The following is an 18,103-nucleotide window of genomic DNA, read 5'->3' as shown; positions in this document are numbered from 1 at the left end:
GCAAGGATCTCCCCAGATTAGCAATTGCTGAAATCCTACTATCCAGCATCCTCACCAAACCAGACCGGGACTGAGAACCGGGAAGTAAGGAGTTGTGGGGGTGGCGGGGTGGGGCAGGTGGTACTCTAGACAGCTTCAATGAAGGCTACCGGACTGTGAGTCTAGGCTCCAAAAAAACAGGAGAATTACTCTAGAAAGACTGCTTGACAATGCCAAGATGAAGCAGTTGTCAGTAAGGATAAAAACCAGATCCCCAAATTTAAACAGAAGGTAGAGATATAATCCATCTTCATTACATCTGAAATTGAGACACATCTTAAAATCGATGTTGCAAAATGCTTGCAAGCCATCAGGCAAAAAATAAGCACAGGCTGTCATTGCCTATACACACGGGAAATTGCCTGTGTATTAAGGGTATCAGTCATAAAATCATGGCTTTAGTTGGGTTGCCCGCATTAATGGAGCCATCTAAGGTTGACTTAACTTTAATTTGTGTTTTGAAAGGATTTCAAAGATTATACTGGATGGAGGCTTGAGATGGGAAGTGTGTATAGAAAAACAATCCAACTGTTTCCTCCTAATCTATACTCACACCACTCTACATACTTCTTTTATGATACCAGATGTGTAGGTTTTCCCACACCAAGCAATTCTCTGGCCCACCTGTGTGTCCTACAATTTAATTCAATTCTGATACTATCTATGTGGAGACAGAAACAGATCCCACAGGTAAGAGCTTAGTCTCACAAGGCTGCCCCTGCCCCATTTCAAATGCCAATAGCAAGCAGTAGGCCCCCAGGTTACTCACAAGTTCTGTCCAACTTGGCTACAAATCAGAGGTTCCCATGACTACCTCTTCAGGTTGGATAATTTGCTAGAGTAGCTCACAGAACCCAAGAAAACAGTTTACTTGCTATTTCCAACTTATTGCAAAGGATATTTTAAAGGATATAAATGAAGAGTTGGATAAAGAGATATATAGGGTGAGGTTGGAATTGGCCTAGAAGGAGGATTGTATTCCATTTTTCCTAATAAAATTGAACACAAGCATTTTAGGGAAGGGATACTCTCAGCTCAAATGCTGGAAAAATACTTAAAATGTCCTAAACCTAGAATATATGTCCTCTCTCTAGTTCCAAGGATGGCGTCTAACTGGACCATTTCTCACTACAGGGTTCCATGAAGTTCAATTTCAATCTATTATCATAATCATCATAAAGATGACTTAATCATTAGAAATGTCCATATTTGGCTCACTAATTTATACATATTTGTCCTCGTTGTGAAAGTCAGTCTGTTCTTTTTATATGTTAAAGTGTTTTAAACAGAAGGCACACTATAAATGCTAGATATTTATGATCATACAATGATATGAAACAATTTATCTTTCTTTAAAATGACTAATTCCATCCTTTTAAAAAATATTTAATTTGACTTCCCCATTACCACAGCTTTATTTGTCCAGTTACATTCATGCTTGGAATCTCCAAGTCCATAAATGTAACTGGGAATGTCATGGGGAATATAGTAATGTTTTGTTATATGACACTCTTAATACACAAATTTAAAGCTGTCTACTGAAAAAAGCTTTTACAAAATGCTTGTGTACCCCAGTACCATGAAAGATGCAAACAAGTAGACAACATGGTCTTTGAAAAGGACTATGTAGTCTAGGTGGAAAAATTTATTTGATGAAGATGAAACTAATTAGTAAATTGATTAGTAAATATGGTCAGAATAGAAAAAGAGATTCATGAACAAGTAGGAACTTGAGCTGACCCCTAAAGGAGGAATAAGATTGGGAGAGGCAAAGAAATAAGAGGGAAGGGTATTCTCAGTCAGAAACCCAGAATAACCAGAGAGGTGACACTTTGCATAGCACACTTTTAGAACGATAAAAGGAATCACTTGGAAAGGTCTGTTGGGAGTATATGGGAGAAATGAGACATTTTTCTGTGGGGTCAATTTATGGAGCAGCCAATTAGTTAAGAAGCAATCATTTTACCCATGCTCTTGCCTTGCATCTTATATCTTTTACTCTTAAATTTACATTATTTTTCATAATATTAATAGCATCTCCTGCCAAAGAGCATCTTTCCAGCTTACAATGATTCCCATTCCCATTCCCATTCCTCTACATGGGCAGGTTAATTCCTAGGGGCTATGTCTGTATAATGGAGTTCAATTTGAATGTCAGTTGATTGAAGCTGGAGAGGGCTCATTCTTGCTGGAACAGAGATGGCACTCTAGGACTACGTGCTATGGAGACTGAAAAGGATTGAATCAAGCCATCTCTTTTTTCATGGAGCTGGAACTATGAGTTGTGATCCTGGGAACCATGGGCAGCCATCTTGTGCCTGCTATATGGACCTGGCAGCTAAAAATCCCTTCTTCCCAGGAAAAGGAAGAGGCAGACACAGAGAGAGGAGCAGAGACAGGTGACGGAGCACTCGCAGTTCTCAATGGCCTTCCAGTTCTCACTTCCACTGCCTATCTAGCCACATTTCTGCTCTTGGATTGAGACATCCTGTATCTTTTATAATCAGTACCTCTTTCTGCTTCAGCTAGCTTGGTTGAGATTCCTATTATTAGAAACTCAAAGAGTCCTAATACAATGATGAATAAACAGATTTACTGAAGCCCTGCTGTCCTTTACTTTTGTGCATGTTCCCTCCTCTTGTGCTCTAAGGACAAGGTTTCTTTCATTTTGTCTTTGGTCAGTGTTAGTGTGAGTCTATTGCTGTTTCATTCATCCAGGTGTCACAGTCCACAGCCCCTCTCTCCCCCTTCCCCTAACTCTCTTCCCAATTTCCTTTTATTTCTCTTTACCCTCTGTCCTTGAATGAAATCCTAACAAAGAAATACAAAGAGGCTGAGAGTATAATTTATATATGCCCGAGGCTTATGAACAGATAATTGGTTCACTTAGCCCAAATCTCCCAGGGTCTGTGATGTAAAGGGATAGAAAACAAGAAGGCTTAAAAAACAAACATGCTATTCATGTAACTATGTTATTCATAGAGTAGGGCTACTCTATGCAGCATAATTTATTCTGGGGGTCACATGAGGGATAAGGCCACCGCCTGCTTAAGGGACCCTCAACAACTTCAATTCCAGCTGTGTCCCCAAATCCTCCTCTTAAGAGTCCTATTCTTTGCCACCTCAGTTGCAGTAGGTTCTGCCAGACGTATATAAAGCCATTTCTATCCTTTATAGCTTGAAGAGGTCACTACTCTCACTGGAAAATCACAAGCCTGGGATCTTCAGAGAGAAGCCCCTTCCTGCTGAAGGATCATGTATGGAAAGTAGGTGGGGAAGCCTGAATGCTCAAAAGCCTTGAAAAGACTTCTAAAGGCAGATAACCAAGCCCTAAACCAGCTAGCTGACAACCGTGTCAACACAGTCAACACTTTATCCAACTGCTCAACTAAAAATAATCTGTCACTTCACCACAGCAAGCCTGCCTGGCTCTGAGGTACAGAACAAATGCTGAAATACAGGATGCTGCTGTATTTCTAACAATGTAAGGTCCAATGACATCAAGTGGGATTCAGAGATTTGAATGTGAAGATCACCTAGGAAGGCAACTACTCACACCCAGTTTATCAGGTTCATGCTTTGCTTCTTTTTTAGTATTGATTTATTTGTGTCTCTTCAAAGGGCAATCAGAGTGTGGTATTGGCTTCTTTCTGATCACATTTGGTAACTATGCTTCTTGGATATCTTGTTTGCGTCAATAATAGGCCTTGTTCAATTTTTTTGTAGTCTTCAACTAGGTCAGGGATTTTTGAGAGCAAGAATCATGTTTTTGTCTATCTCCATCTCTTTAGAACCTAACAAGCCCTTGCAATTTAGAAAGCTCTCAGTAAAGTATTTATTATATAAGTAAATGAATGAACAACTGAACAAACAGCAAAAATCCAACCTTATGATGCGGGTCTAGGAAAACTTTTTAAAGGACCTAATAATTTGATCTGAATCTTTAATGAGTCAATGCAGTCAAGTGTTAAGTAAAGTAAGGTAAGTAAAGCAGCAAGGTAGAGGGGCAAAGGAGACTGGATGTTCTAGGCATTTGAAATTCCCATCAAAAGAATTAAAAGTTGTTCTATATGGCATGCAGAAAAGAGAGCAGGAATGAAGCTGAAGAGATGACAGGGGTCACAGGAACTTTGTATACACTGCTAAAGGGCCTGAATTTTATTTTACTGGTGATGGGGAATCATGAGCTGATTTTCAATAAAGAGGAATGTAATTAGATTTTCTTTTAGAACATTATATTTGGAAGGAATATGGAAGGTAATTGATGGCGGGATGGAGATGTATTGAGATGGAATTGCAGACAGCAAATAGGAGCCCCTTGCAGTCAGTAATTCAGGTGAGGGATGATAAAAGTCTAAACTATTTCTGAAAAGCTCTATTTCTATTATCTTTCTTCTGCTGTCAGTTTTCATCACCCATGAGCACATCATATCCTCCTTCAGGAACAGTAACTGGGGATGCTGAATATTAACAGAAAACATCAACCACAGTAAAGCTTCACAGACTTTTATCATAGTTGGACCACCTCAAAAGTCAAAGTGGTATTTTCCAGAAGGCCCATGGGCAGAACCTCCTCTCCCTCAAAAAGAACTGAATGACCCTTTCTGATTTGACAATCCATGGGCCACCTTACTTCTCTCAGCAGGTATTGTGCCCACCTGTTGCTTTGTGCTTTTTCAGCAAGAGAGTGAAAAAGAAGAAGCAAGAAAAGAGGAGAAGAGGAAGATGGCAAAGGAGCACGGTAAGGTCGCTTTAGTGATCTCAGTCATGAAGAAAGAAGAAGAATTAAGGCTGTTGAAAGAAGAGCAGGAGCTGATTAAATCCTGTGGTCCATTACTAGGCATCAAATTTTACAAAGGAGATTTAGGATAATGGGAAAATGTCCATGGGTATTTGCTCATCTTACTTGTAGAGAAAGAAGAGCTCTCTCTTCACTCTCTAGCACATACCTGATGAGACTTAGCAGAAGTAAACTCCTTCCCATAGGACAGTGGTTCTCAACCTTGGCTATACATCGGAATGAACTGAAAAATTCTTTTTAAAAAATACTGATGCCTGAATCATACCCCAGGAGATTCTAATTTAATTGGTTTGGGTGTGGTTCGGTAATTGGTCCTTTTATAGAGCTCTCTGGGTGTTGGGAACGCACAGATGAGCTGAGAACCATCGCTGTAGACCAGGGGTCAGTGAACTTCCTGTGAAACACCAGAGAATAAATATTTTAGCTTTGTGGGCCATATGGTCTCTGTTACAACCACCCTACTCTGCTGTTTTAGAGTGAAAGCAGCCATAGACAATATGTAAATGAGTGTGTTCTAATAAAACTTTCTTTATAAACATAGGCAGTGGGCTGGCTTTGGCCCATGAGCCAAATTTTATTGACCCTGTCAGACTCCAAAGGACAGCTGGATTGCCCAGGTGCTGAATTAGGTATGGAGAAAATAGGAAAAATATTCTAGTTTTAAAAGGGCATTTGGAAGAAGGTTGTAGTTTTAGCTTAGTACAATGAGATATGTGTCTGAGCTGCATTTCATAGAATTCTTGGGTAAGGCATTTTACTTCTGGGGCAGTAAAGTTTTGATGGTTAACAGAAATTTACTTTGCCACCGTGCCATAGCTATCTATTAATAACGACAGCATATTGGCCAAGGTTTTCATCTGAAAACTACCAACGAAGGGTTTGAATTTAAAGTCTTGGTTCCAGATGAATTAGCCCCAGCTTACAGCAAAGCTGTCAGGTTAGGTCTGGGGAGGGAGAGGAAAAAAAGAAACACATAGACTATGAACTTTCATTAAACCTCTTTGTTGTTTGACTTCTTAGGGAGGCAAGGTGTGACTTTTGTGTTTGCAGGAAAAAAATTCAATAAAGTATAAAGAAGAAAAAACTTATAACGTGCAAGGATAACTAGAAGTGTTAGACCCAAAATACGGACATTTAGCCTTAGAACCTGAACCAGGACAGAAAAAATTAAAAACCAAATAAGAAAAACGTTTCCATGAGGACAGGGAGGGGAACTAGTGCGCTGATATATTTTATGTGTTCTCTAATTTCTCTCACTGGAATTTAACCATGAGCCTGTTTTGCTTTTTTTTTTGTGTTGTGTTGTTAGGTTTTAATTCTACATGGGAAAGAGGATCTAATTCATTCTATTATTTTATGCTGGAGAAGGGAAAGACACGTTAGAAATGAACTTCTGCCTAATCTTTAAGATGCTCTCCTGTCATTACTGGTTTTATCCCTCTCTAGGAAAGAGTGGTCACATGACATGCGCCTTAGACTCACGCTAGATGAAGTGTGGGGTTAGACCATCCTCACCTTTATCCTGTCGATATTGGCTTCCATCTTAAGCTGCTCTACCAGCTTCCTGGCTTGTGCTATGCTGGCGGTGTTGTTGCTGGCCATCGGAGTGCTGGATAGATCTTTCAGAAACACTAGAAAAGAAAACAAAAAGAAGATTGTACCAGAGAATTCATGAGCCAGCAAATGTGCAAGTTCATCGTAACTAGGGGATCTCAAAGCAGTGGCTGTAGCCAGGCCTGGCTTCTCCAGCCCTCTCCATCCTTGGTCGGTATTACCTCTGACTGGCAGGCAGAGCAGAGGATGAGGTTTGATTTTCCAATTCTCCCTACTTCCCCATCCCTTCTTTAGAGAGAAAAAAAACACACACACAAAGAATATTACCAAATGTTCTCCCAGTGGGCTCAAACCCCATCCTTCTGGTTAACTGTGACCACCTCAGCGTATTATACTACAGAGACACTATAGTGGGAGGCTTGGCTTTTCAGTGTCACTTAATCCAGCATTGCTGTAAATAGCCATTCCTCCCCACTCTATTTGAAATTAAAGTTTGAGTCACAACGATCTACTTTACTCATAATTCCTCAGGGACACATCTATCATGCCAAATGGGAGGGATTGCCATGCCTAATCTCTAAATATGACAATTAGTTCACCAGTGTTATTCTAAATGAAGTACAACAAACTTATTAACTGATTTCTTTTATAAATCTGGAACATAAACATTTTGAGAGTAGAGTTCTTGGCTGGGCATGGTGGCCCACATCTGTAATCCCAGCACTCTGAAAGGTCAAGGTGGGAGGATCCCTTGAGGCCAGGGTTTGAGAGTAGAGTTCTGTTCCTAGGCAGATTGCGAGATGGTTTCTTTGTCTCTGCCATACCTCTTTCTCCATGTGTGCTCCCCTCCCCCTTCAAATCCTATCCCACATTCATTTCTCTTCTTATCCTTTCTTGACATACCATCTCACTTTATTATTATTGTTCATCTTGGAAAATACCTTATTTTATTCCCGTTGCTGATGCCCACTTCCCCCACATTCTGAACAAATCTTACTTTGTGTCAAGGTGTCATATGCAATTTTAGGACTACCTGTGTAAATATGCTCCTTGAGATCACTGATATCCTATTGGATAAAGCAAAACCTAAGTGCTTTGATTTGACTAGAGTGCATGACCCATGAAACAGAAACATTAAACACTGCCTCGTCAACACTAATGGAATCTTGTTCTGAAGATATTATATAAAAAATAATGACTTCTGCTAGCTTTGGACAATCTTTTTACCAAAGGATGAAGTAAGATCAGGTTACTTATCTTAAAAAGAAAAAGAACACACAGAAAACCTGGAAAATGAAGAATAACCCGTAACAAATTCTGTACATAGATTTTTTTTAACCTACCAACTAAAATCAACAAATAATTATTGTCTTAATGACCAAAAAGCAAAAGTCTATAAATTATCTCTTTTGGTAGTTATTTCTTGATATCCAGTTCTTCAAGACAAAAGAAGAAATTAGGTATAACTCTCTGTAACATACAAATCCCTTCATGGAGAATATTATGTTGAAGAATACTACAAAATAAGCCACCCAACATCATTTACAGAATAAATTGGAGCATAATTAATTGTTCCCTCAATTTCTTTTCTTTTTTTTTTTTTTTTGAGACGGAGTCTGCCTCTGTCGCCCAAGCTGGAGTGCAGTGGCGCGATCTCGGCTCACTGCAAGCTCCACCACCCAGGTTCATGCCATTCTCCTGCCTCAGCCTCCTGAGAAGCTGGGACTACAGGTGCCCGCCACCACACCTGGCTAATTTTTTGTATTTTTAATAGAGACGGGGTTTCACCATGTTAGCCAGGATGGTCTTGATCTCCTGACCTCGTGATCCGCCCACCTCGGCCTCCCAAAGTGCTGCGATTACAGGCATGAGCCACCACGCCCGGCCATCCCTCAATTTATTTTCAAAGAGTTTGGAGACAATAAAATGAGAGGGAAGATTGAAGGAATTTTTGAAGTCACAGAGATCTCTGAACTCTACTTTTACACATTTGGAGATCAAAGGAAGGAGAATTGCATGGAAAAACAAAATAATAAAAGGAGACTTTAACAAGTATTATTTCATTAGCATGGTTAGAGACCCAATCATCGCAGCCTCACAGGGAAATTACATGCTCCACAATTAAACAAACATCTAACAGCCTAGGAAGACTTCATAGGGCCAAGATAGAGCATTGACTTATTCAGAAGGGTAGCCTAACTCTTCTATTCATCCAATATTGGATGCAGCCACAATCTACAAGCCCCTGGATGCTGTTCTGTGAAGCGAATGTTTCTGCCAAACTGGAATTCATTCATCTGGCTGGAATGCAGACTATCACAGAATTACCAAATTCTTATTGGGACATTTGAGATTCTGGCCAGTGACTCTTCTGCCCTGAATCTACACCAGATTACAGGGTGACCTGTGGCAGAGATCACAACTTGCCTTCTAATCCCTCTTCCTTTCTTCTTCATTAGTAACGACACTTTTTTTCTTAGTGGAGACCACAAGAACCCTGAATTTTAGCTAGGTGTATTTAGCCGAAAGATACATTCCAAGCCTCTCTTGCAGCTAGGTATAGTTACATGACTAAGTTTTGGCCAATGAGATATAAGCAGAAATGTTCTTGAAGGGAAGAGGTATACGCCTTGTCTCTCCTTCCTCCTGCTACTGGCCTGGGAGGCATCTGCATTGATCACAGAAGTCCCTCTTGAACCTCTAGCATGACTGCTACACTAGGGTGAACAGGAAGGATCTGGGTCCTTACTGATTTTGTGGAGCCACCATGCCAACTGTGAGATGGTTACCTTTGATGTGACAGAGAAATAAGTGCCTATCTTATTGATGCCACCATTATTGAGGGGTTCTCTGTCATTAGCCAACAGACCTGCTATTAACTGAGTAAATGACCCATTATTGTCATTCAAGCATCAAGGAAAGTCTGTGTCTCAATGCCTTTTCATGCTCCCTGGGAAAAGCTGTGAGTGGCTTGAGGAGGCTGAGATAGAGAATATATTTGTTCTATTGCTGCTGTAATATATTACTACAAGTTTAGGGGCTTAAACAATAGAAATTTATTATCTTATAATTCTGGAGAGCATTAGTCTCAAATGGGTCTCACTGGGCTAAAGTCAAGGTACAAGCAGGGCTGTGTTCCTTTTTGAGGCTCTGAGAGTTCACTTTCTTTCATTTTCTAGCTTCTGGAGGCTGTCAGCTTTTCTTGGCTCTTGGCCCTTTCCTCCATCTTTAAAGCTGGCAAAGGTGAGTGGAGCCCTTCTCATGTCACATCACTCTGACCTCCTCTGAAGTCACATCTTCCTCTGACTGACTTCTGCCCACCCCTTCCACTTTTAAGGACCCTTGTAACTACATTGCGCCCACACAGATAATCCAGGATAATCTATTTTTAAGTCAGCTGATTAACAACCTTAATTCCATCTGCAACTTTAATTCTTCTCTGCCATGTGACATAATGTATTTCTAGGTTCTGGGAATTGGGACATGAACATCTTTGGGGGGTTGTTATTCTGCCTATCATGGAAGAAGTCCTCTGTATAGGCAGGGAAGGGAAGTAGGGAGGTGGGAAATTGAGATGGGGAAAGAAGAGGCATGGGGCAGTAGTCTAGAAATGCAGGAGGGGAAAACACATTTGAAACCTCAATGGACTTAAGAGAAAAAGTAAACCTAGGCTTTGTTTTGTGCTCCTAGTTTTAGGCAGCTACACCCTGAATGTTCTTGTTTAACTGTATGAACCAGGCAGAGTCGAGCACCACTTTTAGAATCAATTAGTGCATTTTTCCCTTTTTTTTCACATCCAGCTGATTTCTCGTAAAAGCAATGAAAAAATCCCCTCCTGAAGACTGAAAGAATTGTAAAGTACTAGGCCAGCATTCCAAAGAAGTGTTTATTTTCCTAAGAGGTGACAGTGGCATTTGGGTGAAGGGTGAGATTCATGTAAAATGGATACTGGATCCATTTTGGGTTTAGAGTCACGTAGTGGGGGATCTCCACAGGCCAGAAGCTAAAATAGGAGCAAAAGAAGGACACCAGAGAGTCGAATCAACTGGTGAGGGAGTAGGGCTGGAGGAGACACAATGGCATCTAGTGTTGGTGAGGAGGAGAGAGGAAGATGACCGCAACTGGAAACACTGGGGTGGAGCTGGAGCAGCGTGAGATTGTGAATTAAGCCATTTACACCCGTCTCTGAAACTGTACACATTTTGATGCTTCATTCCTTTCCACCCAATGGTTTTTTATTCTTTGTGATCAGTCTCTTCCTTTTTCTTTCTCTTTTAAACTGACCGCAATGTAGAATGTACATCTATATATTCATTGGAATTTGCTGAATTACCTCCTATGTTCTTAAGATATTCTCTTTCTTCCACTTTCTTCATACATCAGACAACATCTGAATATTAGTTGTTAGTTGCTTTTGATTTGCCCACATCTATTTTTCAATCCATGACCGTGGTCCACAATAGACAATCTTCCCCACCTCTACCGTGAATCACAAAATTCCAATTTTGAATACTATGTTGCTGGATCATAATTTTCTGAAGCTCATTTCCTTGTAGACTTTTTGCTCATGTTGTGACTTCTGCAGAATTTGAGGGTCAAGCAAACGAAACATTACACCCCAAGACGTTAAATGCATGCTGTTCTAGAACAAGTATTGGCTTTGTATATGTTAAAAAAGACAACACATGTGCATCCATGCTTTCTAGCTGTTTCCTGAAACGCCAAGTGATGTACCTCTATTCCTGGTTTATCTGAATTTGTTCAAACCTTATAAAGCCAACTATTGCAAACAAAACAAAGAATCTTAAACAAACAAACAAACAAACAACGCAACGTGAGAGGAAGAGGAGAAAACCCATTCCGATGTTTACCTGTGCAAATAAGAGTTTGTCTTCTAAGCTTGAGGTATTTGGACCCTGCATCACACACACACACACATACACATACACATACATGCACACACCCCTCCATTTATGCTAAAAGAAGACCTCTACACTGATTCATTTTTCTTTTTTAAAAAATTGTGATAAAATGCACAATATAAAATTACTATCTTAACCATTTTTAAGCATATAGTTCAGTGGTATTAAATACACGTATACTGTTGTGCAATCATCACCACCATCCATCTCCAGAACTCTTTTTACCTTGCAAAACTGAAACTCTATACCCATCAAACAATAACTTCCAATTCTCCCCTCAACCCCTGGCAGCCACCATTCTACTTTCTGTCTCTATAAATTTGACTACTTTAGGTATCTCATAGAAGTGGAATCATATAGTATTCATCTTTTTGTGACTGGCTTATTTCACTTAGCATAATGTCTCTAAGGTTCATCCACACTTGAGCCTATCAGAATGTCCTTCCTTTTTAAGGCTGAATAATATTCCATTGTATGTATATACCACATTTTCTTTATCCATTCACCTCTTGATGAACACTTTGGTTGGTTCCATGTTTTAGCTACTATGACTACTGTGAATAAGGTAGTCCAAACATCTTTTAAAGACCCTGCTTCCAATTTTGGGGGGTTATACCCAGAAGTTAAATTGCTGGATCATATGGTAACACTTGTTATTTTCCGTTTTTTTTGTTTGTTTGTTTTGTTTTGTTTTCATAGTAGCCATCCTAATGGGTGTGAGATAGTATCTCACTTTGGTTTTTATTTGCATTTCCCTAATGATTAATGAATTGAGCATCTTTTCATGTGTTTATTGGCCATTCATATTTCTTTGCGGAGATACCTATTCAACTCTGTTGCCCATTTTTGCATTGGTTTTTGTTGTTATTGTTGTTGAGTTTTAAGTGTCTCATATTTAGGATATTAATTCTGTATCATATAAGTGGTTTACAAATATTTACTCTTATTCTGTGGACTGTCTTTTCACTCCGTTGAACTGTCCTTTGAAGCACAAAAGTTTTACATTTTATGGAGTCCAATTTGTCTATTTTTGCTTTTGTTACCCATGTCTCTGGTGTTATATACAAATTCAATGTCATGAAGCTTTTGCCCTATGTTTTCTTTTAAGAGTTTTATAGTTTTTAGCTCTTATGTTTAGGCGTTTGATCCATTTTAAGTTCATTTTTGTTCACAGTGTTACGGCCAACTTCATTCTTTTGCCTGTGGATATCCAGTTTTTCCATCATGATTTGTTGAAAAGGTTGGCCTTTATCCACTGAATTATGGCCTGGATGTTTGTGTCCTTTCCCACATTCACATGTGAAAGCTTAACCCTCAATATAATGGTATTTGGAGGTGGAGCCCTTGGGAAGTAATTAGGTCATGAAGGTGGAGTCTGCATAAATTATATTAGTACTCTTATAAAAAGAGAAATGATTTCTTCCTCTCAGCCATGTGAGTAAACAGCAAAAAAACAGCCGTTTCCAAATTAGGAAGAGAACCCTCACCAGGACCTTATCATGCTGACATCTTGATCTTGCACATTTAGCCTTTAGAACTGTGAGAGAGAAATGCTTATTCTTTAAGCCACCTTGTCAATTGCATTTTTTTTTTGATAGCAGCCCAAATTGAGTCAGACAAATTGTCTTGGCACCCTTCTCAAAAATCATTTGACCATATATGTAAGGGTTTATTTCTGTGCTCTTTATGCTATTCCATTGGTCTCTATATATGGATTGTCTGTCTTTATGCCAGTGCTACAGTTTTGACTACCATGGCTTTGTAGTAAATTGTGAAATCAGAAAGTGTTGAGTCTTCCAACTTGTTCTGTTTCAAGAATGCTTTGGCTATTTGGGGTTCTTTGAGAATCTATATGAATTTTAAGACAGATTTTTCTATTCTTACAAAAATATTATTGGGATTTTGAAATGGATTGCAGTGAATTTGTCCATTGCTTTGGCTAGCATTGACATTTTAACACTATTGTCTTCTAATCCATGAACATGAGATGTCTTTTTCCATTTATTTATGTGTTCTTTCAGTAATTTTTTAAAAATTTTTGTTGAATAAGTCTTTTACCTTCCTGGTTAGTTCTTAACTATTTTATTCTTTTTGATGCTACTGTTAATGGAATTTTTTCTTAATTTCCTTTTCAGATTATTCATTGTTAGTGAATAAACATACTACATTCACTGATTCTTACTGGAGAAGAATGCTTTTGTCTTCTACCTTCACATGAGTTTTAAAGTAACTGCATACAAAAAGAAGTCTTCTTGAGGAAAGGATGTTGCACCTTGTGAACATAATGGGGTCAATAAAAAGGGTTGACAGAGTCCCATTAGATGCTTAGGCAGTTTCAACAGGGAAGCACAGACACACATCATATATTCTTTGCTAGTGTCCCTTTTTCATTTTACATGTAACCCAAATTGTGCGGAAGTTTTTTTAAGAGAGAATAAAGGTTTGAATTCATTAACCACTGAAATGGCTTTAAAACAAATATGCTGAGAAAATCATGTAGACAAAGCTTCAAAACATACATACCTCTTAAAGACAAATGACAACAACAACAAAAAACCTTTTGGTTAAAAAGAGGGTGATTCATTTCTACACACTACTCCCCCTCACCCCATCGGCCTAGTCTTTGGTGATGCACTGTGACTTGTGATGCCCTGGAATTTACCTTTGTAGGGCCCACACTGGCTTTGGGGCTGCCAGAGGACCACCCCAGAGGCATGCCCAGCAGTAGACTTCACTTTTTCTAGGAGTTGATGGGGCAGAGGTAAATGGAGTCAGGGTAGGTTCTCTTGGGGAAAATCGATTCCTGAAATCACTTCTGGCATCTCAGAACATTTCTGGAAATCAGCTGGGGTGATGATCAAAGGTTGGATAGTGCTAGAGTGACATTCTTTGGTACAACAAGCTGTTGTGAGCCCAGTAGTTGCCAGCACCTGCCAAGTACTGGGTCACATGGCAACCATGGTATAGCATGGAATACATGTGGTTACACTTCTTTAAATTTGAATGGGAAAATTTTCACACCAAAGGTTGATTCTTTAAGAATTCTATAGCCAAAATGTCTTTTAAAACTTCTAATAATCTAACCGGGTCTGGTGGCACATGCCTGTATCCCAGCTACTTGGGGGCGCTGAGAAGGGAGGATTGTTTGAGTCCAGGAGTTTGAATCCAGCCTGGGCAACACAGTGAGTCCCTGTCTCTAAAAAAAAAAAAAAAAAGAAAGAAAGAAAGAAAGAGAAAAAATAAATAAAATTCTAATAATCAGAAATTCTAATGGGACTCAATCTTTTCTCAAGGTCCCATACTGGACTCACTGGCAGTGGTAACCAACCAGGAAGGTACTGCCTCTTATGAGGCTTTTGGAAATGTGTGGGGTTGGTTAGGGCTATGACAATAACTGGGGGTGCTACTGGCAGTTAGTGTGCAGAAGTGGAGACTCTAACGCCTTGTAGTAGGCCAGTCAACAATGAATTGTGCTGCTCAAAGGCCCATAGTACCCCCAGTGAGAAAAATGAAAGGATACCTAAAAAAATAGCCACAAAGCCATCATGAAAAATCTGCTCAAAGAAAGCACTCCATGTGCAAACTTTCAACTAACTGGGTTTTTATATTCTTATGTCTTATAATCCCTATTATTTTCTCACTGATGATGAATAAGTGTTAAGCATTCATAATTCTCAGCAATATGCTTTATCGATATCTGGTCCCGGCTTATCTAAAACAGAGCAGAGTCTCTTTTATGCAGTCTACTGACAGAATGAGATTATTCCGGGTTATATTTGCCAGTAAGCAAAAAAGATACAAATAGCAAAAATCCCTGGAACAATTATAGGAATTGTGTATAAGAGATTGATAGAATTCTGAAAGAATGCCCTAATTATCCCACCTGAATTCCAGACTGAAGAATAATACAGAAGAAATTTTATTCTTTTCAACTGATGAGAGGATTATAGTCCCCGTCCCACCCAACCAACAAGAAACATGAAAAATAGGCCTGTTATGGAACAATAACCATTAGAGGAGATTTCATTTTCTAAAAACACATTCAGCACTTTAATTTCTTTCAGAAGGAACTTTTCTGTTAAGAAACCATACATTTTCTTGTCATTTAGGCTTAGTAATAAACACACAACCCCTTATTTCTGTGGCACAAAGATAAATAAATGGTTTGTTAATGGGTGGAGAGTGTGTAGGTTAATTGTGGAGGATTCCATCCTTTTCATACTTCAATGGTGTTTTTCAAGGGTGGCATCCAGACAGACTTCCCTAAGGCCTGTAATTTCAATTACAACTGTATGTTTCTCAGGACTGTGTTTTGGTATTTGCAGTAGGTGCTGAGAGATTTTGTTTTGTGTATTTACAAGTTAGGATTACATTGGCAATAAAACAATTTTTCTGTCTAGAATACAAATTGGAGGTTTATAGTCTCTCAGTCACTTAATATTTTTATTATTCTTGTTTGTCAGTCAGCCACATCTTTGGTGATTGTTTATAAGTTGCTTTTGAATTAGCAGACTAATTTCACGATGTTCCAATTTAGAATTTGTCAGAGCTTTTGCAATTAGTCATCTGGATAAATGTCTTTGTTAATTGCTCATACCATAACCCATGTTTAGTTTGGTCATTTTTGCCACTCACTTTTTTTGATCCTTACTCTAATTTATTCTGCAGCAAGTAAGTAATCCATCATCAAATTGATATTATATATACTAACATATGCTATATTATATACTACTAAATGATGTATATATACACACAACATAAAATTGATATTTATATACATTAATTAGATTGGTATATATACTAATATTAGATAATATATACTAAAATACTGTTAATATCCATTCCTCTAAAGGGCTTTCACAAACAGAACTCTAGTGAACTTATCAATAGTGGCTGCAATGTGAATTGTGAATCAAGTAATAATTGCAAAATATCGGCCTGCCAGGTTTCAGGGTCGTTGTTTGTCAGGCACCTTTTTCTATTGCCAGTTCATCACTTTGACCTGAAAATACTAAAATAGCACATTTCAATCTCTACTAATCAGCAAACACTAATTTCTTTTGGCTTCTCAGTCACTAAGCAGATTTTAAATCAATAAAGATTTATTGGGACACTTACTGCTTTTCTCTCAACTCTTACAAGCCCCGGAGGATCTGGGTTGGAATCCACCTTGCACACTCAGTCACTCTTTCCCAATCATGTCTTTCAACAACTGGGAAGTCACAAAGATCTTTTAGGTGTCATGATGCCCTGGTTTCCTCATTCACCTTTGTTCATTTTTGAGCAGCAGTGTGGAGGTTTGAGATGAAGAACAAAAAAGGAGATGAGAATAGAGAGGGTGCGGGCAGGTGTGTGTAGGGTAGATGTCTATACCAACAGGCATGGACTAGCTTGGAGATAAAGGGTATGGAATAATCTTGAGCCCCCCCAAGTTTGCATTTGAAGAGGGTAGGGCAGGGAAGGAACAGGAAGATATCCAACTGTGGATAGCCTCAGGGGGTTCACAGCGGGGCCAGACACAGAGAGCTGGACTCACTCCATGGCGCTGGCTAAGATGAAGAATGAATTTGTCAACAAAACAAAACAAAACAGGAGCCTTCCAAGTGCCTCCCCACTCCGTCCCCACTCCTCTTCTTTTTAGTGCTTCTCATTTCCAGAAATTAGATTTTACAGGCCAAAAGCTTTGTTCTTTCATGGAGGACCAGGAACTCACACTAATACGAAGATTTGCTTATGGACCAAGAGCTCGCCACATGCCAGGAACTGGGCCAAGGGCTTTAACGCATTATCTTGTTTCATTCTCACAACTCAAGGGAAGTGAGCGATGCATCCCTTGTTGAAGGAAATTGAGGCTTAGATTAGGTCAGCACATTCGTCAGAAGGGTGTTTCGGCTGCAGTCTCCCCAGGGAAAGATTTTCTTTCAGTTCTTCTCAATTCACATTTTCAGAGGCACCAGACTGATCCTAATCTGGGGTCTATGGTATATTTGGCCGTTTTCACATACATAACAGCAATTTTATGACCTGTATGGCACAGGGAGAGCAAATGCAAATGAGGACCAGTGTGGAAACCCCAACAACCAAACTTGCTGTGGGGGTCAAGAAGGAAGAAAATAACCCAAGGGAGCAACATATTGACAGAGCAACCTAAAATCCACTCTGGACTATTTCCATGCGGTTTCACTGGGAAGTTGCCACTTACCAAGTGGGAGAGAGACAAAACAACGTATTTCTTCCCTCAAATCAGCATGGGAGCCGTCTATGCTGTGTGGGTGGAGAGTAAGACGCAACATGGCTTCCCTGTCTCACGCAGGTGCCAGAAGCCATCATTTGAAATGACAGCTCTCTGCTTTCCAGTAAACTGCTGGTTTTGAAAACATTAACTTTACAAGATGCAGCCTTCCTCTGGGAAAGAGGGTCATTGGTTAGCTGTTTCTAACAACCCTGACAAAAAACAGAGTCCTCGAAAAATGACTTCAAAGTCATGGATTTCACAAATTTTGTAAAATGAAACGAATAGGCCATGTTGCAACTTTAAAATGACATGTAAGCTTTTAGTTTTTATCTGAGACTTGGATAAGGAAACAGCTTGTATCTATAAATGGGAGCTGGCATTCTTAGACGCTAGGTGGGCTTTGTTCACTCCACGGAAAAAAGATTAATACTTTGAACTGTGGATGTTGGATTTTTTTTTTAATACAGAAGCCCAGACCATGAACCAGTAGGGTTCCAACAAAAGAGAAATAATGAACTAGTTTCCATAAAAATAGCTCTCTTAACCTATGGA

The 18,103-nt window shown here is 39.3% G+C and overlaps 1 protein-coding gene across 15 annotated transcripts in view; it reads right to left on the bottom strand.

The window, feature by feature from the left end:
• GNG2 (G protein subunit gamma 2) overlaps nucleotides 1–18,103 on the bottom strand; it is a 143,622-nt gene that overhangs the window by 12,675 nt on the left and 112,844 nt on the right. For 10 of the 15 annotated variants that reach the window (NM_001389707.1, XM_047431486.1, NM_001389708.1 and 7 more), the window contains one exon: nucleotides 6,356–6,471. In NM_001389707.1, the coding sequence (NP_001376636.1) occupies nucleotides 6,356–6,442 (87 nt within the window). In that variant the 5' untranslated portion in view covers nucleotides 6,443–6,471. Of the gene's footprint in view, nucleotides 1–6,355; nucleotides 6,472–16,434; nucleotides 17,341–18,103 lie in introns of all 15 variants that reach the window. The other 5 variants (XM_017021377.2, XM_024449633.2, XM_047431490.1 and 2 more) reach the window with 2 other exon arrangements.

Source organism: Homo sapiens, chromosome 14, assembly GCF_000001405.40.
Source record: "Homo sapiens chromosome 14, GRCh38.p14 Primary Assembly".
Taxonomy (NCBI): domain Eukaryota; kingdom Metazoa; phylum Chordata; class Mammalia; order Primates; family Hominidae; genus Homo; species Homo sapiens.
The sequence above is the reverse complement of the archived record's forward strand: the minus strand, read 5'-3'. Positions and strand labels throughout refer to the sequence as shown.